Source organism: Homo sapiens, chromosome 11 (genome assembly GCF_000001405.40).
Source record: "Homo sapiens chromosome 11, GRCh38.p14 Primary Assembly".
Taxonomy (NCBI): Eukaryota; Metazoa; Chordata; class Mammalia; order Primates; family Hominidae; genus Homo; species Homo sapiens.
The window spans coordinates 40,318,042-40,343,515 of NC_000011.10; the positions used below are offsets into that span (position 1 = coordinate 40,318,042).

Below are 25,474 nucleotides of genomic sequence, written 5' to 3' on the forward strand. Positions count from 1 at the left end.
TAGACCTTTGGTATTCTTGAAAGACATACCCGAGAACATTGATAATAATCAATTTCCAAACATCACTATACTCGTCTATGCCAAATAATATCAAATATAGATATCACCTCCCAGATAGTAAGCCTATTTTGTTTTCAGTGATTAATTATTCCTTGTAATATGTATTTACAGTGCTGTGGTCAATCCGAATGCTTGCTCTTTCTCTACAGAAGCCACAATGGTCTAATTTATTATTATTATTATTATTTTGCCTTTACTGCTCCAGTCTAGTCAAAAGGAAAAATCATCAAAATTTGACCAAGTAAAATGATCAAAATAAACCAAACATTTTTTGGAATGAAATGACCTTCAATCTTAGATGATGAAACACAAATATGAAAGGAGCAGGGTTCATTCATTACAGAGGCAGCATCTAATGGAGACTATTAAGTCAATCCTGCTACCTTCTACAGATACTTGGCTTGGTTCACAGTCTTGCACCAAGCCCATTATTTTACTTTCTTCAAGCTTATGATTCCTTTTTATATTTTCAATACATTATATTTCCTTGGTTTTGTTTTTACCAATAAATAAATCCATGTACACGGGTTGTTTATTAAATTAGAGTTTCAAATCCCCATTGAGACAAGTCCACTGAGGAGTTAGCTAAGCCCATTTACTACCTAAACTGTTCCCTCCACCTGCTCTTTACAGAATAACTTAACAGTATGCCTCAAAAATTGAAAACTACTATCTGCAATGGGTTTTTATTTTGTTTAAAAATAAGTAAAAACATAAATGGTAGTAGTCTACTATATAGTCATCTGCTCTGTGATAGCACACACAACATGTCTATTGTGATTCTGAAAATACCTGACTTCTAATAGGAAGGTGGAAAAAATTTTGCCTAGAATATTTCTTCTTAAAGCAGGGAAAATCTCATTCCTTTGACTGCCTCCATTACCCAGGAGAAATTATCTTCGTGTGCTGTTAGGTTAAGAAAATCCTGATGCAACCTCTAAAGAGCATTTTTCCTTTTTGGTAGGTCTCTCCGATCCTTCAGTGGTAACAGAAAAAAATACTCCTTCCCCATTTCTATTTTTCTTTCTTCCATATGAAGGAAACTCCATTATAGCAGCTCTTCTGTCCTCTATTTAACCCCTTTTCTCTTCCTTCTTCTTGGTCAGTAGAGTTGCTTATTTGATTTGTGAACTTCAAAGCAAGATTTCGTCAATCACAGTTTAACCCATTCTCTTCCCCTTCATCTTTACAGTGGGCTACTTGAAGGAAGATACACTCAGGTCTGCTACTCCACACTAGAAATTTCACAGGGCAGGCTGCCATGTTGGGAGAGCCTGCAGTTGCCACGCACTTCTTGGGCCTGGATGGGTAAATCTATTTAATGCTGTAGTTAAATATTATGAAGTTCGTTTTTGCCGCATGCACTGAAATGTTATCCCCAAATATTAACTGCATCATTAATAAAAGCAATGCCTGGTTTTCTATTTGTCTATTTTTTTTTGACTTAGTGAACCTCACTTTGTTCTGAACTAGAGCAGCTAGAATGGAAGCCCCTAAAGAATAGATTAGTGGTATTTGGAACTTACCTTAGTAAAATTTCTCCAACAGGTATTGATCTTCCTGAGAAAACTCAAAGAAGTTTAATAAGTGCTCTGGATTTCTGCAGATACTTCTTTATACCTGCAGGAAGATAACATAAATATCATATTTTAAAATCATGCTATACAAGTGAAAACAAATTTAGTGTTAGACATCCCTGCCTGTTCCATTCCCTCAATATAATTTAGTAATTTAAAATCACAGAATGTCTTTCATACATGTGTGTGTTACATAACTAACAAATCAAGACATGGGTAAACTATAGCAAATATGTATATGTATATATGTGTATGTATTATATATATACAACATATAAATATATACATATATCTATTTGATTTAGTTTACCAACTCTAGATTTATTAGTCTTTCATTTCTTTTTTAATGTCATTGCATTTTATTGAAATGTGTCATATGAATTTCACTGGAAAAGATTTTTATCTGTAAATAGCTTATTGTACATAAATTTAAAAGACTTCCTGCTCTTACTTCTTCCCTCTGGCCATGAGCTAAAAACAATACAGATAATTATCTGTTTATTTCAACTCTAATAGCTGAAACTGACATTAAAAAACTAGAAAATGGCCGGGCGCGGTGGCTCACGCCTGTAATCCCAGCACTTTGGGAGGCAGAGGTGGGTGGATCACGAAGTCAGGAGATCGAGACCATCCTGTCTAACACGGTGAAACCCCATTTCCACTAAAAATACAAAAAATTAGCCAGGTATGGTGGTGGGCGCCTGTAGTCCCAGCTGCTCGGGAGGCTGAGGCAGGAGAATGGTGTGAACCCTGGAGGCAGAGGCTTGCAGTGAGCTGAGATCGCGCCACTGCACTCCAGCCTGGGCGACAGAGTGAGACTCTGTCTCAAAAATAAATACATAAATAAATAAATAGAAAATATACACTGTAATTTACATATTCCTCAGTTTGATATAGCATCACAGAAAATAAGTAAATATAGACATTGGATTGAGAATTAGAACTGGATTCAATTCATAACCCTGTCATAATTAGCCAGACAATTTTGGGCAAGAATCCAAAACTTACTGAGTCTTAATTGCTCCACATATAAAACAAAAAGCTTCGTACAAAATTGCCACTAAGGACCCTTCCATCTTTCAAATTCTGTGATAATTTTCCTTCTGAGGGTATGTTTTGATATGGGTAGAATGATCAGGAAGATTTTGTGGAAGCAAAACTCCCATGCTTAAATAAAGCCTGAATTTTTATATACTTATATATGCCAATTGTTAGCTTCTCTCTCGAGCATGAGTTATTTGTAGGTAAGTTATACTAAGGTGGTTGTAATCAACGAATTTGAGATTCATGTATTACTTGAAAAAAAATTAATTATCTACCTGACGGAGTTTAGTACAATTTTATTTTTAACTCAAAAGATTAATAACTCTTTGGAGTCTAATGACCAGTAGGTCAGTTGTCCATCCTTCAGCTATCCTGATGTTAAAGAGAAGTTGAAATTCTGAAAGGACTGGGGAAACCACCAACAATATGTAAGATAGCTTACAGAATTTAGCATGATATGATGATTTTTTTCCCCTCACATATCTTCCAGAGGGAAAAAGGTATTTTTGGTTGAAATGTTCATATTTAATTTGTTGTTGTCTTGAAAAAACAATACATTTCCTAAAACTGAAGGGTTGAGTGATAGCTGGAATTACTACTTGCAAAGATAATTTTAAAACTGGCATATCAGATTTGTTTGCTACTATTATTAGAATAAAAGAAACTAATTTAAGCTTGCATTATACTTCTAATGCACTGGGCTAATCTCTCTACATTACTGTACAAATTAAGCTTCATAACTATGCTATAAAAATTTGGATTATAATTCTCCTTTTATAGATTAAGAAACAGAGGTAAGGATGTTTAAGTCAGTTAAACAACTTAGTTTAACCCAGAAAGAGATAAATGGCAGAATTAGCAAGTCTGTTTAATCCCCAAGCCTATACTTTTTCTTACTATGAACTGTGCTATGTATCCTGGCACTACAAAGCTTGATGGCTACTTCTGGGCCAGTACATATTCAATTGAAGTAGATTCTATCAGATCGATTGTATCTTAGCCTCTGAATGCATCAGTTGATATTGATCTTTTCATACCTGAATGCCTTGTCTAATTTCTCAGGAATCTAATTTTTGCATTCCATTTCAATTGTATGTTCAGGGGAACAAAATGATGTCTCCTCCTTCTTTCAATCTGAGTTTTCTACTTGGTATTTAATGAGTTTCAAATAAATTTGTTTATACCAGGATTCTTAGTACAGAGAACTGAGCTTGGTGGGGCTGCCTGAAGGGACATAGCATCAGATAAGAGAAGTACTATGACAGGTGGTTGTGAAGAGAACAAGGCAGGGGGTTTGTTGATTAGAACAAAGTGAATCATATTATGTAGATTCATTAAATGTGGGGCTGGAAGGGACTCACCAATCGATTCACTAAATGTTATACTGCACAGGTGAAGGGAATAAGATACAATATGTTCAGGAACCAGAAAGCAGGTTTTAGGATTTCATCCATCTACCCAGCTTCTCAATGGTAGCACTGAATCCTCAATTGTATGTTTATATTGCATGTTTTAAAAAAGAAATTCACTTTTTTTTTTCTGAGACAGAGTCTTACTCTGTCACTCAGGCTGGAGTGCAGTGGTGCGATCTCAGCTCACTGCAACCTCCGCCTCCTGGGTTCAAGGGATCCTCCTGCCTCAGCCTCCCAGGTAGCTGGGATTACACACATGTGCCACCATGCCTGGCTAATTTTTGTGTTTTTAGTAGAGATGGGGTGTTGCCATGTTGGCCAGGCTGGTCTCAAACTCCTGACCTCAGGTGATTCACCTGCCTCACCCTCCCAAACTGCAAGGATTACAGGTGTGAAACACTGCACCCGGCCAAGAAATTCACATCTCTAGGCTTCAATGTGTCAATCACACTGGGCAGTTTAAGACTCGGGGAGCATAGGTTGCAGAAGACCTTGGAGTCAGACAATCTAAGGTCAGCAGCATCACTTCCTGTTTGTAGATCTTTAGAAAAGTGGCTTCATCTTTCTATGGGTCACTATCCTAATTTGTGAAACAGGATAATGAGAGGTCCATCCCTTTTATGCTGCTTTGGGATTTAATGAGGAAATTTCTATAGGGTACTTTGCTCAGGGTCTGTCCCAGAGTAAGCATATACATAGATATCCAGGTATTGTCAGCATCCTCATCATCATAATTTATTTCATGTGGGACTAATAAAATGGAATATCTTCTGTAAATTACATTTTCCCTTGGAAATATAAATCTCAATAAAAAGAGATTATGACTGAAGTACTAACGAAAGAGACTAAAGTAACCAGCATTGTCATGGTAACTTTATTTGACTCACCAATGAAATGAGAAAGTCACAAATCTCTATACATATTTGAAATTAAATGTTCAATACCCTAAAATAATCAACTTGGAAATGGATCTTTTTGCTCAGAGCAGCCTAAAGCAATTGCACTCAAAGGCAGAAGTTCTCATAGCTTCTCATAGCTAAACGTTGTAACTAAAACAAATGATTTTACATGACAAAAAAGGTGAAAGTTCACTTGTTTTCTTAATTATAATAAGTTAATGTGAAGGAATGTCCATTTGGACTCTGCTGTTAGAAGCTCAGTTATGCAATATTCATATAAAAATAGTTCCAAATCAATACAACATGTTTTAAATTTACATTAACATTTAAATTAATGAGAAGCTCAATGTGAATTATGGCGCTTTGGATGTTTAGGACGATGTCTCTTCTTGCCAACTTGGAACAGAGTCTATTGACTCACCTTCATAGTTTCATAAACAGCTTCCAGACTTCATGTATTTTCATTGCCAGCCGATTTTCAGACTGATGAAGGGGCCATATTGACATCACCAGGGAATAATGTTGGCCCTATCCACTAAAGTTATAAAATGCAGCTAGCAAGTGAACATACCTCTGAAGGACAGTTTGCCACAGATTATTCTCATGTCTGGGGTTGCTTTAGGATTAGAGCTTATTCCTTTTTTCCTCTTATGGATTTTTTCATCAAATATTTCTAGAGCACCTATTCTGGACAGAACACTGTGCTAAAAGCAACACAGATCCTACCTCAAGGAACCCACCCTCTATTGAATGAGGTAGTAGCGTATACAAACAATTATAGAATAATATGACATAGTCTATGATAAAACAATTTATGAATTAGGTGGTATCAGAGGTAGCTAGATAAGACTGAGGAGAATCAAGGACAACTATCTGAAGAAATGAGGCTTCAAAACCAAGTAGGCATTAGTTAATTAAGCAAATATAGAAGATCTCACTAGTCGGCGGGAAGATCCTATAAAAGAGCCTGACACCTTCCCTTCAATGAACAAGAAATTCAGAATGATTAGTGTGAGAGGTGGCAAGTATGTGTGTGTGAGTTTATGTGTGTGTGTTTAGTGTGTAGGTACACATACTCACATAGAAGTGTGAATGTAACAAATTGACATCCATGATTAGGCACACAAATTAATGAGCTGTCTCATATGTCATGATAAGGAGTTTGGACATGATCCTTAAAATCATGCAGATGCAGAAGTTCTGATGGATTTTAAGCAAGCTTGATTCTAAAAGTATTGCTCTGGCAATAGTGCAGAGAATAGAAGAAAGGTGAGTGGTTTTTTCCATAAAGGTGAGCAGTTTTTTTTGTCAGATGTCAAAAGAGGCCTTAGTAAATCCATGCTTGAATTCATATGACATCAGATGCAAGACACAGGTAGCAGAGAATGTCATAGAAACTTAGCAATTCCAAATCTCATGGCGTTCCTTTTGACGGTGAAATGAAATGGGCAATGAAAGATTGGAATTAGCAGTGCTGTATCTGAGTTCTACCACCCTCACTCATTTGCGAAAAACAATAAATTGAGCACTAACTATGCACCAGGGATAGTATTAGATCCTGTGACAGAGTAATGAACAGGCTAGGCAAGGTCCTGGCTCTCAAGATATCTATATTTTCTTGAAAGCATGAGAAAGAACAATTCTTGAGAAACATTTATTGATAAATGAGACAGAACAATTAAGTAAATACAAATATTTACAGATTAGGGTAAAAATTATGGAGAAATAAACAGGGTGATGTGATAAGGACAAGGTTGGGGTCAGACAGGGTTTCTTAACTGAAGAGCGTAAGCTTTGGATTGGGGATTCAAATCCCAGCTCTGCCATTTCTCTATTATGTTGTGTTGGCAAGATATTGTGCCTCAGGTTTGTCTTCTGTAAATTGAAGCTGAATATTCCACTTCATAGGCTTATTTTGAGGACTAAATGAATTAATAAATACACAAAGATTAACCCAGTGCTTAGCAAATAGAAATGCTCAAAATTACTATTAGTATAGTTGTAGTTACCATTATTACTTTATTATTATTATTAGTCTTCTATGAACAGATTGGCAATGGAACGACTAGTTGAAAGGTGAAATTTGGGCTTAAACCTGAAGAATGAGAAAGAGCCAGACATGTGAAAAGCCTTAGGAAACATATTCACGCCATTTCCTAACAAAGCCAACAACAGTGCAAAATTTCTGAAGTGATCTTAATGTTAAAATGTGTTCAACTTATTAGAAACTACTTCAGTATTATTATATAAGTTTCAGCTACTTTTGCTTTGACTCACTCCAGGAAAGGAAGGGTCACTTATCTAAATTAAGAATCCGGGCCAGTCATGATAGCTCATGCTTGTAACCTCAGCACTTTGGTAGGCCAAAGCAGGAGGTTAGCTTGAGCCAGGAGTTCAAGATCAGCCTCGGCAATATAGCGAGGCCCCATCTCTAAAAAAAGGAAAATAGCCAAGTTTGGTGGCACATGCCTATAGTCCAAGTTATTTGGGAGGCTGAGCAGTGAGGGTCATTAGAGCCCAGAAGATAGAGGCTGCAGTAAGCTTTGATGATGCCACTGTTCTGCACCCTGGGCAACAGAGCAAGGCCCTGTATCAAAAGAAAAAAAAAAAAGAAACCATATTTGCTAGGATTATATTAAAAAGTCATGTTCGAAAGATAGCTACTAACACTTATTTTTTTCATTTTTCATCAACACCAGGCAGCTAATGATCATAGCAAATATCAGAAACTGTCATTTTCCAGCAAATAAATGTGTCAATGATTGGGGTGATAAAATAAATAGCCTTTATTGGTGAAATTAATGGTGTTCAACATATATGGATTGACAAAGATATATTTGAGATACTACTCACAATTAGATTAAGACCATTTAAGAATCTAGTGAGGCCAGAGGCATGTATCTTTAAGTTAGGGATGATACTCAAAGCTTGATCTGTAACTGGTTCTCTGTCTAGCCATGGGTGAGAAGAACATTGATCCAACCATGAGGTTGGAATGCTGTCTGCTGAAAGGTGGCATTTGGAAAACCTAAAAAAAAAAAAAAAAGGTGGAATTTTGTTGCACTTAGGTTATAAAAACTGTTGCTTGCTTGCTCACTATTGAAAGCATATTTGTCTAATAAGTCTTTGTATTTACCAAAATTAAGTCAGTGACTTACTTCAGTATAACCTAGTACTGAGGGCATAGCTAACCCTCACCCAGAGGGCTCAGGCTTCTTTGGCAATTATTATTTACCAAAATTAAGTCTGGCCAGGCGCAGTGGCTCATGCCTGTAATCCCAGCACTTTGGGAGGCTGAGGTGGGTGGATCACGAGGTCAGAAGTTCAAGACCAGCCTGGACATGATGGTGAAACCCAGTCTCTACTAAAAATACAAAAATTAGCTGGGCATGGTGGCAGGTGCCTGTAATCCCAGCTACTCAGGAGGCTGAGGCAGAGAATTGCTTGAACCCGGGAGGCAGAAGTTGTAGTGAGCCAAGATCATGCCACTGCACTCCAGGCAAGACTCCTTCTCAAAAGAAAAAAAAAAAAAAAAGAAGAAGTCTACATGCCTGTGTGTTGTGCAGGGCCAAAGAAGCTTAGATCAGCTTGCAATACTTAACCTGTCCAAGGACGAACAAAAAAACATTGCTTCTGGAGTATTATAAAGACATTGCTAGAAATTGAAATCAGAGAGCTAGACAGAAATCAAACAATGCAGGAACTTGCAGCTCCTGTCAGTATTGTTGGATTTCATTCTCATTGCAATGGAATCTTCTAAGATATAAGTGGAGAGAGCAATTGATCTGAGTTTTTTAAAGATGATAATAACCAGTGTGTAGAAAATGGATTGTAAAGGTAAGATTGAGTGCAGAGAGGAAAGTTCAGTAGTATTTCAGAAGTCTAGGAAAGAGTGATAAAGGTTTCAAACACAGCTGTAGAAATGGACACAGAAATGTAGACTGGTTTTGAAATATACTTTGGAAGAAATCTTAATAGGATTTGCTTGTGGATTAGAAGTGAAAAATACCACAAGAAAAGATTCAAGGTTAGGACTGCTGTTAGGAAATCTTAATGCTGAATGTGGTTAGTTGAGGTGGTCTACGTTTGAGAGTTGAGGTGCATTCTTATCGCTAACTGGAGCCTCTCTCAATGGCAGAGAAAGAAATGTAAGCCTCCTGTTGACTTCTCTGAGGAGCCATGCAGAAATCTGCCATTTCCCATGACAGGGCTTTCAACAGAGGCTGCTTCTGGAGAATGAATGCCCTTTGGAGTCATGTGAGATGCCTTGCTTACATAGAGAGGCCATTTTTTTCATAAATAAATAAGAAGATCTAAATGGGAAATCTCAGTGTTTCATATTTATTTCGAATTCATTGAGCCTTACTGTTCCCTTGCAGAAAATGAATGACCAAGAAAAGGGCCTCTATTATTATCTGCTATCAGAAAGAAGTTGCTGTTAATTACACTTGATCTTAGCCAAAAGGCTGAGAAGCGATATTCATCAAAAGCTATGGAGCTTCAAAATAATCTTGGATTTGAGTTCAGTGTATGAATATGTTTTCATAGTCACTGATTTAGTCAGTTAGTCAGTCCATCTGTCAGTCTATCAGTCAGCCATTCCCTTAATAAACATTTACTGTGAATTAGCTATGCACTGGGCCAGGTGTTGGTGATGAGTCTTTTATAACTTCTCTTCTGCTTGAACATTTTCAAAATTTTTAGTCTATTAAACTCCAACAAAAATATCTCAAGCGGAATTCATAAAACTGGTTTCACTACACTCTACATTGACTCTAGAACTATTGCAAAAATTAATAACAAAAACAATAAAGTTGATTACTTTTATGTTGACCTATAAAAACTTTACATCACTTAGAAAATCAAGAAAAAAATTTCATTTATGCTTCCAAATTCTAATTGTGAATTTGCTTGAGATTTTTTTAAAGAAAGGAATTAATCATTATGTAAAAATAATATCGTGATCTTTATACATGTTAACAAATATGTACCACAGACAGTGAGAGAGTTTGTAGACAGACATTACTAAAAGTGAAATATTTTTATATATATTTTAAAAGAATTTGGTTTGCATAGTAAGAACTAAAATGAGAACATTTATACCCAAACTTGATATTCTACTCTTCCATGGCCTGTGAAGGGTTGGAAAGATAGTTCAATATTCTATGCCACAGTATTTTTATCTAAAGTGGAGTTAAATCTATGTAGCCACTTTATCCTTATTTATTTTAACATGAGAATTAGAAGTCTGGTGTCTAGGAAGCCTGCTAGGCTCTCCGTTTTTTATTTCAAAATAAAGAGACCACATCATTACTATCACCTGAAGTAAAAAGAAATCAAGAGATGAATTGCCTAAAAGAACATATTCACATCATTATCAGTTCAATGGTACAGTATAATACTTCCACACATTGTGTGTTTTTTTTCATATTTGCCTTTAGCTGTTGGAGACAACTAAAGTTGTTGACAAGTTGCATGTATATTTTAATCCACGTCATCATACTCTTTCTGGGACTTCTCTAAGGCAGACAAGAATAGTCAACCATTGGAATAAGTCTTACTGGATTAATATTTAATAATTGAGGTATTGTACATTTCCTGAGGATTTATGAGCAGGTTTAAAAATTAGTAATCTCACAAGTACTTGAGTGGTATCACTTTGTAATTTTCCCCCAGAGAATAACTTTGATAATCATTTCTGTCATAATTTAAAAATGAAAGAGAAGTGATTATCAGTTTAAATACAGAATATTTTATGGGTTACTTGCATTTGGAGTGCTCAGAGACTAGTGGTTTCCATTTAGACAATTCATAAATGTGAAAAAGGTAACTGGATAATAGCAGCATGAGTGGGGTAATCCCCAAAACTTTCTGCACTAAATATATTAAATAGCTTCTTTTCAAAGACATATTAATATATTTTAATGATTTTATGATGCCACCTGAGTAACTCAAAAAGAACAAACACTACCACAAATAAAAGTTTATCTGTCTGTGGGGGAAAACTGAGACCTCTGTGGTGAGCCAAAAAGTAGGCTTAGTGCAAATAGACCGTGAGTGAGTGACAAAATGCTACTCTTTATAAGTGGGGCTGATTCTGTGCTCCATACACTCTCATTATGTATTCTGCTAATAGCACAAGGATGTGAAAATAACAGTTAGTTCTGTAAAGAGCTGGGTGCAACATTAAGATTTAATTAAACCTTGTTTTACTTGGGCAAGCTAGTCATGCAGTGATGTCACAGGAGAACAGAACCCAACAGTCTGATGACTAGCAGCAAAAAGACATGTAGCTGAAATGCCAGTGCACATAGCTAATGTAAACAAGTTGAGGGGAGCAACGGAAACAGTGCTGTAAACTGGAAACATGCCACGTGAGTCATGCTGGAAGGATGTGAGGGTGTTGAGTCTGTAGAAAGCAAACAGACTTTGAGACGACTGGGCAGGAATCAGGGTTTCTGGGTTATTCTGGAAAAGTGTGATTCAAACTCCTTTGTGTACCTCGTGGTATAGAACAGGAACCAAAGGTAGGGTTGACAGGAAACAGGAAATGTAATTTCAGCTCAACATAAAAAAATTCTACCTGTCAAAACTATCCAAGAGTAGAATAGACTGTCGTTGAAGGTAATCAGTTTATAATTATTTGAGGTATTCAAGTATTGATTGCATAACCACTTGGTAGTTACTTTCTTACTTTCTTTTTCTTTTTTTTTTTTTTTTTTTTTTGAGATGGAGTCTCAATCTGTCGCCCAGGCTGGAGTGCAGTGGTGCAGTCTTGGCTCGCTGCAACATCTGCCTCCTGGGTTCAAGCGATTCTCCTGCCTCAGCCTCTCGAGTAGCTGCGACTACAGGCATTTGCCAACACACCCGGCTAATTTTTTGTATTTTTGGTAGAGATGGGGTTTCACTGTGTTAGCCAGGATGGTCTCTATCTCCTGACCTCGTGATCCACCCACTTCGGCCTCCCAAAGTGCTGGGATTACAGGCGTGAGCCACCATGCCTGGCTGGTAGTTACTTTCTAACTAGGTACAGTGTCATTCTCAGAATCCAATGAGTCATACCAGTCGGGTGTTAAATTAATGACGAAGAGGTAGTCAAATTATGAATCTATAAAAATTACAATTACTTACGTAGTAGAATTTGAGGTGGTGTGATGCTCATTTTATCTGTCAACTTGACTGGGTTAAATGATACCCAGATAGCTGGTAAAACATTATTTCTGGGTGTGTCTGTGAGGATGTTTCTGGGGAAAGTTAGCATTAAAAATGTAGCTATCTCACTTATAAAAATATTATTTTTAATTAACATATAATAATTGTACATATTTATGGGGTACAGGGTGATATTTTGATGCATGTATACAATGTGTAATGATCAAGTAAGGGTAATTAGCATATCTACAACCTTGAACACTGATTATTTCTTTATGTTGGGAACATTCAAAATCTTCTTGTATTAGCCTGGTCTCACGATGCTATGAAGAAATACCCAAGACTGGGTAATTTATAAAGGAAAGAGGTTTCATTGACTCACTGTTCTGCATGGCTGGGGAGGACTCAGGAAACTTACTATCATGGCGGAAGGCACCTCTTCACAGGGTGGCAGGAGACAGAATGAGCTGAGCAAAGGGGGAAAAGCCCCTTATAAAACCATCAGATCTCGTGAGAACTTACTCACTATCATGAGAACAACATGGAAATAACCAACCCCATGATTCAGTTACCTCCCACTGGGTCCCTCCCATGACATGTGGGGATTATGGGAACTACAACCCAAGATAAGATTTGGGTTAGGACACAGCCAAACCATATCACCTCTCTTCTAGTTATTTGAAAATACAAGATAAATTACTGTTAACTATAGTGTTATAGAGCACTAGAACTTATTCCTCCTATCTTGTAATTTTGTATCCATTAACCAATTTCTGACTATTCTTCCCTTCCCCATACCCTACCCAGACTCTAGGAACCACTCATCTACTCTCTACTGCTACAGGGTCAAATTTTTAAGCTTTCATATATGAGTGAGAACATGTGATACTTACTGTGTCTCACCCCAGTTAGAGTGACTATTATCAAAAAGACAAAAACATAACAAATGCTGGTGAGAACAGGGAGAAAAGGGAACTTTTATACACTGTTGGTGGGAATGTTAATTAGTACAGCCATTATGGAAAACAGTATGGAGGTTTCTCCAAAAGCTAAAAATAGAACTCCCATATGGTCTAGCAATCCCACTACTTGGTATACATCCAAAGCTAATCAAATATAATCAAAGCTAAAGGAAAGAAAATCAGTATGTCAAAGTCGTATCTGCATTCCCTTGTTTCTTGCAACACTATTTACAATAGCCAAGATATAAAATCAACCAACATGTCCATCAGCAGATGAATGAATGAAGAAAATGTGGCATATATACACAATGAAATACTATTTATCTATAAAAAAGAATGAAATACTGTCATTGACTGAAACATGGATGGGCTTGGAGGATATTACAGTAGGTAAAATAAGCAAGGCACAGAAAGTGATTAACATTTGAATTAGTAGACTGAGCAAAGAAATCTCCCCTCACCAGTGTGGGCAGGCATCATTCAACTGGTTGAGTGCCCTAATATAACCACAAGGTGGAGGAAGTTTGAATTCTCTCTCTCTTCTTGAGCTGGGACATGCATCTTCTCCTGCCGTCAGATATCAGAACTTCTGGTTCATGGACCTTCAAACACTGGGACTTAACACCAGTTGCCCCAAACCCTGCCATTCTTCAGACTGGGACTGAGTTATGCCACCCGCTTTCCAGGTTATCCAGCTTGCAGGCAGCATATTGTGGTACTTCATAGTTTCCATAATTACATAAGCCAATTCTCATAATATTAATAAATCCTGCGTACATGTTCATTTATATATATTCTATTGGTTCAGCTTCTCTAGAGAACCCTAGTGAATACAGGTAAGATTAGCAGCATTGACCCAAGTGCCATAACATGTAAATTAACACTTGAGAAGCAATTTCTGTGATGAAGCTTTTTCTATATTTTGTGACCTTTAAAAACTGAATGCACTTTAGCAGTATATTAGTTTCCTAGGGCGGCCATAACAAAGTGTCACAAATGAGGTGGCTTAAAACAGCAGCAATTTATTCTCTTACACTTCCTGGAAGTCAGAAGCCCAAAACTAAAATATGGCCAGGCCACAGTCTCTCTGAAGGCTCTATGGCTGAATCTTTCCTTGTCTCTTCTTGCTTTTAGTAACTCCACGCATCCCTTGGTTTGTGGCACCTTAACTTCAATTTCTGTCTCCATCTTCATATGGCCTTCCTCCCACTATGTGTGTCTTCCTGTAAGTCTAATTTATTTTTATTTTTAAGACACCAGTCATTGGAGTTAGGGCCCACCTAAATCCTGATCTCATTTTAACCTGATTATATCAGCAAAGACTCTGTTTTCAAATAAGGTAACATAACTACCAGGGCTTAGGACTTTAACATACATTTTTTGAAAACACAATTCAACTCACAACAAGCAACGTTACATCTTTTTATCATCAACACTTGTGTAAATTAAGGTATCTAATTTTAATTTAAAAAATATTCTTCCTTTCCTGGACTTTCATTCCCTGTGTCTTATTCTTTCCACTTTCCCACCTAATAAAGCTAAAGCACATTTAACTCTCTGAACACATCATCTTCTTTTACATAATTGTTCATGGATTGGAGGATTCTGCCTTATCCATGTCAATACTTTCTAGTTGTTCTGCAACTTTTAGCTACCTTATCTATTTCTTACATCTGTTAGGCCAAATAGAGTTTCCTTCATCTTCTGTTCCCATTATAGCATCTGCATATATCTTCACTAAGCCAATTGTCAAGCCATATCATTAACATTTGTTTGTTTCTCTCTGTCTCTGAAATGGTAAGTTATTTAAACGCAGGGACCATGTTTATCACACATAAATATTTATTGAATAAATTAATGAATTAATGGATGACTGAGCAAATAGGTGCACTTATGACCCATGCATGTGTCTGAAAGAATCTGTATATGTGAGGTGTTGTGGATATTAAAACAAAAATAGCATAGAGAGTGAAGGCCACCAAAAATATCTCACTTTCAATTTTTTTTTGAACTCCTCCTCTTGCTATAATCAAACAATATGTAAGGGAATCCTTACTCCTTAAGCTCAGTTTTATTAGTGGGTATGTGGAATTATTCTGATTAATCATCTTTATATATTCATTCATATTATTTAATTATACATACACATATTTGTGAGATGCTACAACATATAAAAGTTTTTAATGTAGAAAAGCCTTGGATTTTTTGTTTGTACATTTTAAAGGAATATCAAGCATACTATTTACGAGTGAAAAATTGTAGTTGTCATTTTTAAAATTGTAAATATGGCCTGGCGTGGTGGCTCACACCTGTAATCCTAGCACTTTGGGAGGCTGAAGTGGGAGGATCACCTAAGGTCAGGAGTTCGAGACCAGCATGGCCAACATGGTGAAATCCCGTCTCTACTAAAAATACCAAAACTAGCAGGGGGTGGTGGCAAGTGCCTGTAATCCCAGCTACTCAGGGGGCTGAGGCAGAAGAATCGCTTGAACCCGGGAGGCGGAGGTTGCAGTGAGCTGACATGGCGCCATTGCACTCCAGCCAGTGGGACAAGAGTGAGACTTTGTCTCAAAAAAAAAAAAAAAAAAAAAAAAGAATTCATAAATACATGGGATTTTGTTACTCTTAACTGAGGAACAGTTTCCAATGAGTATGATAATGATCAGATGAGTGACTTCAATTGATTTCCAGTGGTCAGATCACCGCTAAGCGATATGTTTTTTGTTGCTGGTATTGTTGTGTGGAAGAGAGAGAGTGATAGGGAGGAAGGAAAAAAGGAGGAAAGGAAGAGAAGAAATAAAGTCAAAATCTTAGTTAGATAACCCCAATTATCTTAGTGCTTTATCATACATCACTGTCTGCTGACTGGCTGGATGGCTTACATAAACAACAACAACAAAAACTTCCTTAGTGGATACAATTCTGGAGTCCTTGGTGCTCAAGATGGGAAAACCTAACCTGGTGTTTTTCCTTGCTGTGTTTTAGTATGTATACAGAGGATGCCACTGGGGATCCTCTTACATTTTATATTTAAGGGCACCTATAATGTTTTCAAAGGTCTTAAGACTGTTACATGATTTCTAAATATTAAGTTTGTGGTTACTGGGAACATTTGCTTAGCAAGGACACAGTTGAAACATTTTAATAAAGCTTTTAATAATGGTTTCAGAAGATACCCACAAAAAAAAAAAAGTAAGCCAATGGGTACTATTATCCATGAGGCCAGTAGGCTAGAGTTTGAGAAGGTTGAGAAGATAACTTTTGAGGACATAATAAAAGATTTTAAGAGCAGTCTACTTCACTATTGCACAGCAGTACACCACCAAATGTGAGTAGGGGAAGAAGGTAATTACATTTTATTTTGCTGTCTACCTTCTATCTCATTAGGTGTGTGTACTCATAATTGTTTTGTGGTTACTTGCAATAATCAAATAATTCTAAGCACATTAATGAACAAAGAATACTTCTGTAGAGTACTGAAGTCACCAGATAAATCTATAATACATAAATATATACATACATATGCATATGCATACATAAATATGCAAGCCATCCAGCCAGTCATCTGAGCGAGGTATGAAAAAAAGCATTAACACAATTCAGAGTACCTATCTCAAATTTTTACTTTATTTCTTTTTTCTCTCCCTTTTATCTTTCCTTCTTCCCTCACTCCTGCGCTACCTAAAAACTGTAGCAGCAACAAAAGCAGGAACAAAACCATATAGGATAACAGCGATCTGGCCACTGAAAATGGATTGAAATCACTAAACTCATTCGTCTGATCATTATCAATACTCATTGGAAACTTTTGTTCAGTTAATTAATCAATATCTGATTGTCACAAAATCCCATGTATTTATAACTTTTAAAATAACTAAGCAACAATAGATTTTTCTCATAAATAATATGCTTGATATTATTTTTTAAATGTACAAACAAAAATCTAAGGCTTTTATAAATTAAAACATTTATACATTGTAGTATCTCATAATTGCTCTTATTTCCTGTGTTACATTTTTTTAGGTGCAGAAACCATGACCCTGTACACAAAAGTCAGAATGCAACCTGTGTCTGTTCTAGATTGTTTAATTTATACATATTTTTATTATATCAAGGAAGTAGGTTTTATAGATGATATTTAAAGACATATCAAAAAATATATTTCTGAATTAGAATTTAGGCTTAACATTTCTTCTTCAGTCTATAAATCCTACACCTAAGTCCTCTCTTATTGAGATGTAAGACAGAAGGTGAACTTTCTTATCAAAGGGCTTTTCTAACACCCTTCCAAATGAAATAGCCAAAACAATAGAAAATAAAGAATTAAGACATTTAATAAAACTGGAATGGATTCTAATTGTATTTACTTCGCTAGAGCATGAAAAATGTATTATGTGATTAGGATGGAGAAGCAGAAAATCTTAGAAATTTAGTTATGACAATTGTTAGATGTGCCAAATTCAAATGTTCACCCAGGTGAATTTCTTTTTCACCGTCATTGTATGACACTCTTCTGCTTCTGATTATACCTACATCATGGAAGACTTCACTTTTTATAAGGGTGCCTATCTCGAAGAGAATGGATTCGTCTAACTTTTTGAAATTTCCTATTTATGTAATTACTCATTCAACCCATGTCTAGAGTACACTGTGTAACGCAGGTAAGTAAGTAACGCAGCCAAGTGAGTTCTGGACCCAGATAAACTGGATTCGAGTCTCTACTCCAACTTTTACTAGCTCTATGACTTCAGGAATGTTTCTCATCTCTTTGCCCCATGAACTTCATCTGTAAAATGTAGACACTAATAGCCCGTACCACATAGGGTCATTTTGAAGAGTGCTCCATGTTAAGCACACAGACCAGTGCCTGACACATACTAAGCATTGTATGAGTATGAGGTCTTTATATTTATTTTTTAAGTTCAATATAGAGTTTTTAGTAGAGTACTATTTGCCAGACACTGTCCTAGATGATGGCGATATAATAGCAGTCAAAACAAAATCCCTGCCTGCATGAAATTTACCTTCTAACGTAACTGTGACAGAACACAGGCAGCTATTCGCTGAACCTCTCTCCTCTTTTTTTCTTGACAGACCGCGGAACTGCATATCCCAGTTTTTTCTATGGTGATGTTTGTCCATAGAACTGAGTTGCGGCCGAAAGAGTGTGAAAGAAAGTGATGTGCACTATTTTGGGCCTGGCTAATACGTATTTCCCACATGCCATTGATTCTCCTCTCTTCCCTTGCCTGCTTGCTATATGAAGACGCCTGGACAAACTTGAATGCCGCAGGCTACAGAAGTCAGTCTTTATTCCTGAATGACTGTATGGAGCAGATCCCCAGCCTCATCTCACTGCTGCCACCAAGGTTCAGATTCATACAACTGGGAAAACTATCCTCTACTGTATTACGCTGTTAAAATTTCAAGGCTTATCTCTCACAGCATTTAGCATCACTTCAGTTAATGTAGAGAGAGTCAGCAGACAAATAAATCTGAAGTATAATATCAGCTAGTGCTAAGTGCAATGCAGAAGAGCGAATCAGGGGCTGGGCACGGTGGCTCACGCCTGTAATCCCAGCACTTTGGGAGGCCAAGATGGGCAGATAGCGAGGTCAGGAGATCGAGACCATCCTGGCTAACACGGTGAAACCCCATCTCTACTGAAAATACAAAAAAATTAGTCGGGAGTGGCGGGGGGCGCCTGTAGTCCCAGCTACTCGGGAGGCTGAGGCAGGAGAATGGCGTGAACCCGGAAGGCGGAGCTTGCAGTGAGCCGAGATTGCACCACTGCACTCCAGCCTGGGGGACAGAGCGAGACTTCGTCTCAAAAAAAAAAAAAAAAAAAAAAAAAAAAAAGAGCGAATCAGGGAAAGGGAGTGGAGGAGAGTGGTCAGGGACGTCCTCACCAAGAAGCGCACATCCGAAGCGAGACTTGTAAAATGAGCTGAAGAAACTCATGTACAGCTACTGAAAAAGCACTCCAGACAAAAGGAATCACAAGAGCAAAACCCTGACGTAGCAAAGTGCTTGGAATTTTCACAGCTTCATGAGAAAATCAGCATGGGTTGGAACTGAGTAAAAAATGTGTTCAGAGAGAATCAGAGGACAGACCAGTAAGGCTTTACAGACGAAGGTAAAGACTGTGGATTTGATTGGAAGATTTTCAGAAAGGAAACCATGCAATGTAATTTACATTTTTAAATAATCAGTCTAGCTCCTGCGCAGAGGGTGAGTCAGAAAGTGATTGAAATCTGAGATATCATTTATGAAGCTATTACAGTAGCTTTGAAAACAACACAATGGCAGCTTAAGTCTTCTTATGTCAGTGTTTTTGCTCCCTAGAACCTTTGTCCATTTATCACAAAACCATGTATCATAAATACACCATAAGGTCAATAATCTGCAAGCATTGTTTTATGATACATGGACAAAAGTTTTAAATAAAGATAACAGTTTTAAATAAGTTATAATCTGAAATAATCTGTTTACTCTTCTCCCAGAAGCGCTTGGGTTTGACACCATCATTCTTTCCAACATTTATTTTAAATTCAAGGCCACACGTGCATGTGTGTTACATAGGTAAACTTGTGTCATAGGGGTTTGTCGTACAGATTATTTCATCACCAGGGCACTTAATAGCCTAGTGCCCATTGATTATTTTTCCTGATCCTCTCATTCTTCCCCTTCTCCACCCTCTGATACGCCCCAGTGTGCGTTCTTCCCTTCTATGTCCATGTGTTCTCATCATTTAGCTCCCACTTATAAGTGAGAACATGCAGACACCATCATTCTTAAATCCATTCACAATTACATGTGGTTCCCTAGATATGCCCTACAACTCTTACCTTTCTAAAGCTGGAGATAATTCATCAAACTGTGGAAATCTTGTTTTAGATTTTCTAACCTTAAACCCTATCACATCTATTTTTCATTTCTGTGATCGATACTTTCTAAAATGCTTTTAAATTTCCTTTTACATGGAACTAGTACAACTCGACTATATTTTTCATATGAGGATGTGGCTGTTTGGAAACGGCTTGACTTGTATCATAGCAATTCAATTTATGTCTCCTAAGAACATGTTCTAAAGGTAGTAAATAAGTTCAATGTGAAAAAGGGTTTTGTAGTTAAGATATGTTTTGGAGTCATTGAACTAAATAAAATTAGTCAGATCCAATTTCTGCAGGGTAGTTCAGAGAATTTAGCCTGCTTTTATGCATATGACTCTCCATGAGTTAAAATAATATTTGGAGTATTTATCAAACTTAATTGACTACAGAAGTCTTTCCTCTTTTATAGGATATTTCAAAGGACTAAAGTTCTGTTGAATACATGCTACCGATTTCCAGAGGACAGAAGTTTTAAATAAGTTTTAATCTGATATGATCTAAAAGCAGCAATCTATATCACCAAAATGGTAATTCAGCATTGAAATGAATATGAGGTCTATCTTGTACACTCACACTAATCTCGTTCCTCAGAAAAACTTCTTTTGGTAATATTCTCATGATGAAATCATTTTGAAAGTATTTTTTTTAAAAATGAAAATGACAGCAGGGAATTTGTTAATATTACCTAAACTTACTCCAACGTTTCTGAATAAAATGAATGAATCTCATCTATTGAGAGTTATCTTCATTAAAAATAAAATTTGGGGGAGTCTGGTAGGAAAAGGCTTCATTCTGTTTCTGGCCACTAGACTATAAAAAGAGAAAGAGACTCCTGTTGTTAGAAATTTACAATATAGCAGAGATGACTCATCCGATCACTTAGAAGCCTCCAGAAAGCCAAAGATGAATACTGTTTGCTTCGTGTCTGCGTTCATCCTTTTCCTGTTTCCTGTTTCAAGATGAGTAACCAGTTACAAAGGACCAGAGGGTGTTTTCACACCTTTTCCTCCTCTTTATTAAGGTAGACTTTACAGCCCAAGTGTGACAGGTAGTGTTTCGGCACACTGGATTTCTCGCAGGAACATATTATCTAACTCTGCAGGAGTTGGAGACTTTAGATTGTCTCAGGATTAATAGATACCACCTTGCCATCAGCAAATTCTTTGTACCCAGGAAACAAGGTTGTAGTCAGGTATGCTATCTTTTCTTTGGACAGTCTATAGTAGTTGTCCCAAAATAAAGAACACTTTGTCTTTCCACAATATAATAAAAATAGCATGGGTTATAGAATAAAAAAACACCTCGAACTCCATATGTGTTAGTGAAAGTGCTTAATGTATATAAGCCTGTTATTTAATTTCTCAAATGGGCAAAAAAATCAACCAGCTAACTTCACAGGGGTGTTGTATGAATTAATGAGATTTAAAATGTGCACTATTTCAGAATATAAGTCTGGGAAAGCAGGTATATTTACTGCATTGTTCTCTTTTCTACCCAATGCCTTGAGCAGTACTTTGCATAAAGCTGGCAGGCAATATAATTTTAATTGTCCTGGTTGAACATACTTAGTACATTGAAGCCCTTTTTATCACAGGTCCCAGTATAAACAAGGTCACCAGTGATTAGACATGGTTTGTGGCAGAAAATTTTTGTTAATCATAAATCATATGTTAATCATAACCGTAAAAAGGTTTAGTATTGAACCTGTTTTAGGTAAACAGCTGGGCAGTTGAAAAGACCTTATCAATTGTAATAATATTAATTTCTTCTCTCCTTTATTTTGTGAATTTTCTCCAAGGAGCAATAGTAAAGAGTAACTTCATGTTTTAGGGCAATTATAAAATTTAAAGACGATTTTAATATGTTGAGTAAAAAGGAAACTGACATTTACTTGGAAATTTGGCATATGTGGTTCCAAGAGAGTAAAAATCTAAAGATTGTGTGGGTGTATGATTTTTATCATTCTTCCTTATGGTGTTCTGAAATGAATAACTAGAAATTTTAATTGAGAAACCATTTCATTAAAATTACCTATATTTTCCATTGCTCTAGTGTATTCTAATTTGCCTAAGTAACTGTCTTCTTTATCCCCCTTCCCACACTGCCCAAGCACGTGGTTATTTCTACTTCATATCCTATTTTCCAGCATACAAAAACTAGGGCTAAAGCAAAGCAAAACAAAACCCCATAATGCATATGAAATTCTGATTTCTCTTTTTTTCACATGGTCAGAAACATGAGAAGTTCACCAACAGGCCATGTACAGTTCAAATATTGGTTAGTATTTTTTTGCCTCCCATTCCTATAGAAAATAGAAGAAAAAAACAGAAAACTAACAGTGTTGAATTATAATGTAGTCACATAACTACTTTTACCCACCTTGCTCACTGAAAATTCCTCTTCTCTAAATACATTGGGACTGAGGAATGTATGTGTAGTGGGGACTGAGGCTAAGGGATACATTTGGAATATAATATTAATATGTATAAGTATAAAATACAATAAATGTGATAAAAGTAATAATAACCTTTATCAATGGCTGTGTGCAGGTACTCTGACAAGTGCAGTGCAACATTCTTTCATTTAATTCTTACAATTCTACAATATAGGAATTTTATAGCTGTTTTACAAAAATCAAGAAATTGAAGATCAGAAAACTTATTCAATTATACATGTATCATTATGTAATATAATGATATTACTGAATAGCAGAGCTGAGGTTAAATATCAGGTCTGTTTATTCTGGTTCCTGATCACTAAAGACAAAGGGATATGTCTCTTCTAAATGCAGAGGAGCAAATAAAAAAATGAATTTTAAATGACAGAAGCCAAAAATTAAGCTCATGTAGTCACTTATCTACCATGGGTGAAGGTTTGAAGGTCAGCATTCTACCAGTAATCTCGACCTCACAATCCATATATTTCTGTTACATGTCATGTTTTGGTCGTGAGTGCAGCACAAAATAAACTAAGTAAATCTTGGACTTGCCAAGGCTCTATTGAAAGTTTTCTGCTGGAATCATAACATCAAAGGCTGTTGAAAGGAGCCTCAACAGTCAAAAACCCTAAAACGAAGTGATGTTTGATATTTCTCATTTCTTTCCCACTTAAAATGTATGAACTATAAACAACTTTCAAATTTGTCTTTGCAATAGTTTGCTGAGAATGATGGTTTCCAGCTTCATCCTTGTCCCTTACAAAGGACATGAACTCATCATTTTTTTATGGCTGCATAGTATTCCATGCTGTATATGTGCCACATTTTCTTAATCCAGTCTATCATTGTTGGACATTTGGCTTGGTTCCAAGTCTTTGCTGTTGTGAATAGTGCCACAATAAACATACGTGTGCATGTGTCTTTATAGCAGCATGATTTATAATCCTTTGGGTATATACTCAGTAATGGGATTGCTGGGTCAAACACTGCATGTTCTCACTCATAGGCGGGAACTGAACAATGAGAACATATGGACACATCACACACTGGGGCCTGTTGTGGGGTGGGAGGGAGGGGGAGGGATAGCATTAGGAGATATACCTAATGTTAAATGACGAGTTAATGGGTGCAGCACACCAACATGGCACATGTATACATATGTAACTAACCTGCACATTGTGCACATGAACCCTAAAACTTAAAGTATAATAAAAAAACTTTCAAATTGATATTAATTTCTTTGTCTTCTTTCAGAGTTCAAAAGACAGAAAAAAAGATAGTCATCACAGTTGATACATCACTTTTCATATCTCAACTTGCCTTTGACTGAGTGAGTGACAAGGTTGGGGTTCAATTCTAGAAAGAAATATAAATCGATGTTCCTTGTGCTTAGAAAATATGGGATGACATATTAAATATTTGATCCTTATTACAAATATTTTTCTGTGGTTTTCTTTGTAAATCATAGCTCAGTGCTGTGCTTTGTATGTTGATAGAGATTATGTTACTGGCACTTTTCTCAAAAAAAAAAAACAAAATAAGTCTTTTTAAAGAAAATACAGCAAAGCTTATCTGTAGCCAAGTCATATGGTTGTCAAATTCAAGAGTATTATTATGAAAAATTAAACATCTCCAGTTTTTCCCCAAAATATTAATGTATAAATTTAGAGCAATTTGATAACTCAGTTTAATCATTTAGAAAAGTAAAGGTGGACAGGTGCAGTGGCTTATGCCTGTAATCACAGCACTTTGGGAGGCTGAGGTGGGTGGATCATGAGGTCAACAGATCAAGACAATCCTGGCCAACATGGTGAAACCCATTTCTACTAAAAATACAAAAAATTAACTGGGCATGGTGGTGCGCACCTCTAGTCCCAGCTACTCAGGAGGCTGAGGCTGGAGGATCCCTTGAACCCAGGAGGTGGAGGTTGCAGTGAGCCGAGATGGCACCACTGCACTCCAGCCTGGCGGCAGAGTGAGATTCTGTCTCAAAAAACAAAACAAACAAACAAAGAAAAGAAAAGGCTTATATCTCATAAATCAGTGAGGAAAATACTGCGATTCAGTAGAAAATAGGTAAAGAAGATGGAGAACCACTTGGTAGAAAAATAAAAGCAAATGATTAAAACACATAAAAATTATACAACATAACTACTTTAAAGAAAAATAATACTAATGAAACACTGGCTGGCATAATCAGTTTTGTAATGTTCTTTTTGATGTGATCAGTTTTGTACTTTGCTTTTTGAAGTCTCATTTAAAAGCACATTTTCAGAACAAGCACTTGCTTTAATTCTCTTTTCCCAGTTACTGTCTATTCTACTACCCCATATATACTACATATTGCTAATCATACTATGAAATTTTCCTTTATATCTATCTATCTACCTACCTACCTATATATTTATCTATTCATTCATCCATCTTTTAGTCTAGTCATCTCTCCATCTATTTTTCTTTATTGCCTATCTTTTGCCAAATTAAAAGTGGGCTCCATAAGTATAGTAGTAATGTTTCTCTAACTTGCTACCGCATTTTTTTATTTTATATATATATTTTTTGCCTAATGTAATGCCTAACACTTAATAGGAGCTCATAAAATGGTTACTGAGGGAATGAGTAAATACTACACAATTGAAGAAATTATATATAAACTGACTCACTACCATTGGAAATTCATATTAGTGGAACTCAGCTTATACATATACTTTGACATGTTTGCTAAGAATGCAACCTTAGGCACATAATGAAGCAATATCTGGATAGCAGAAATCTAGAATTAACCTAAGTCTATCAATAAGAGACTGATTAAGCAAATTACTTGACATCTGTATGATGAAGATGCTATTAAGCACTAAAACTTACATATATATATATATACACATAAATATTAATTTTTGATTTAGTGGTAAATATGCAGGATTGTTTTTTAGGTAAACTTTAGGTCATGGCAATTTGGTATACAGATTATTCAGTCACCCATGTTATAAGCATAGTACCTGATGGGTATTTTATTTCTTCTCCTTCTTCCCAACTTC

General features: G+C 36.3%; 1 protein-coding gene across 18 annotated transcripts in view; it reads right to left on the reverse strand.

Moving 5' to 3' along the window:
• The window catches only part of LRRC4C (leucine rich repeat containing 4C), a 1,345,454-nt gene that overhangs the window by 203,843 nt on the left and 1,116,137 nt on the right, over window positions 1–25,474 (reverse strand). For all 18 annotated transcript variants that reach the window (XM_017018075.3, XM_017018073.3, XM_017018077.3 and 15 more), the window contains one exon: window positions 1,587–1,680. The gene's annotated coding sequence lies outside the window, so the exon portion shown is untranslated. The remainder of the gene's footprint in view (window positions 1–1,586; window positions 1,681–25,474) is intronic.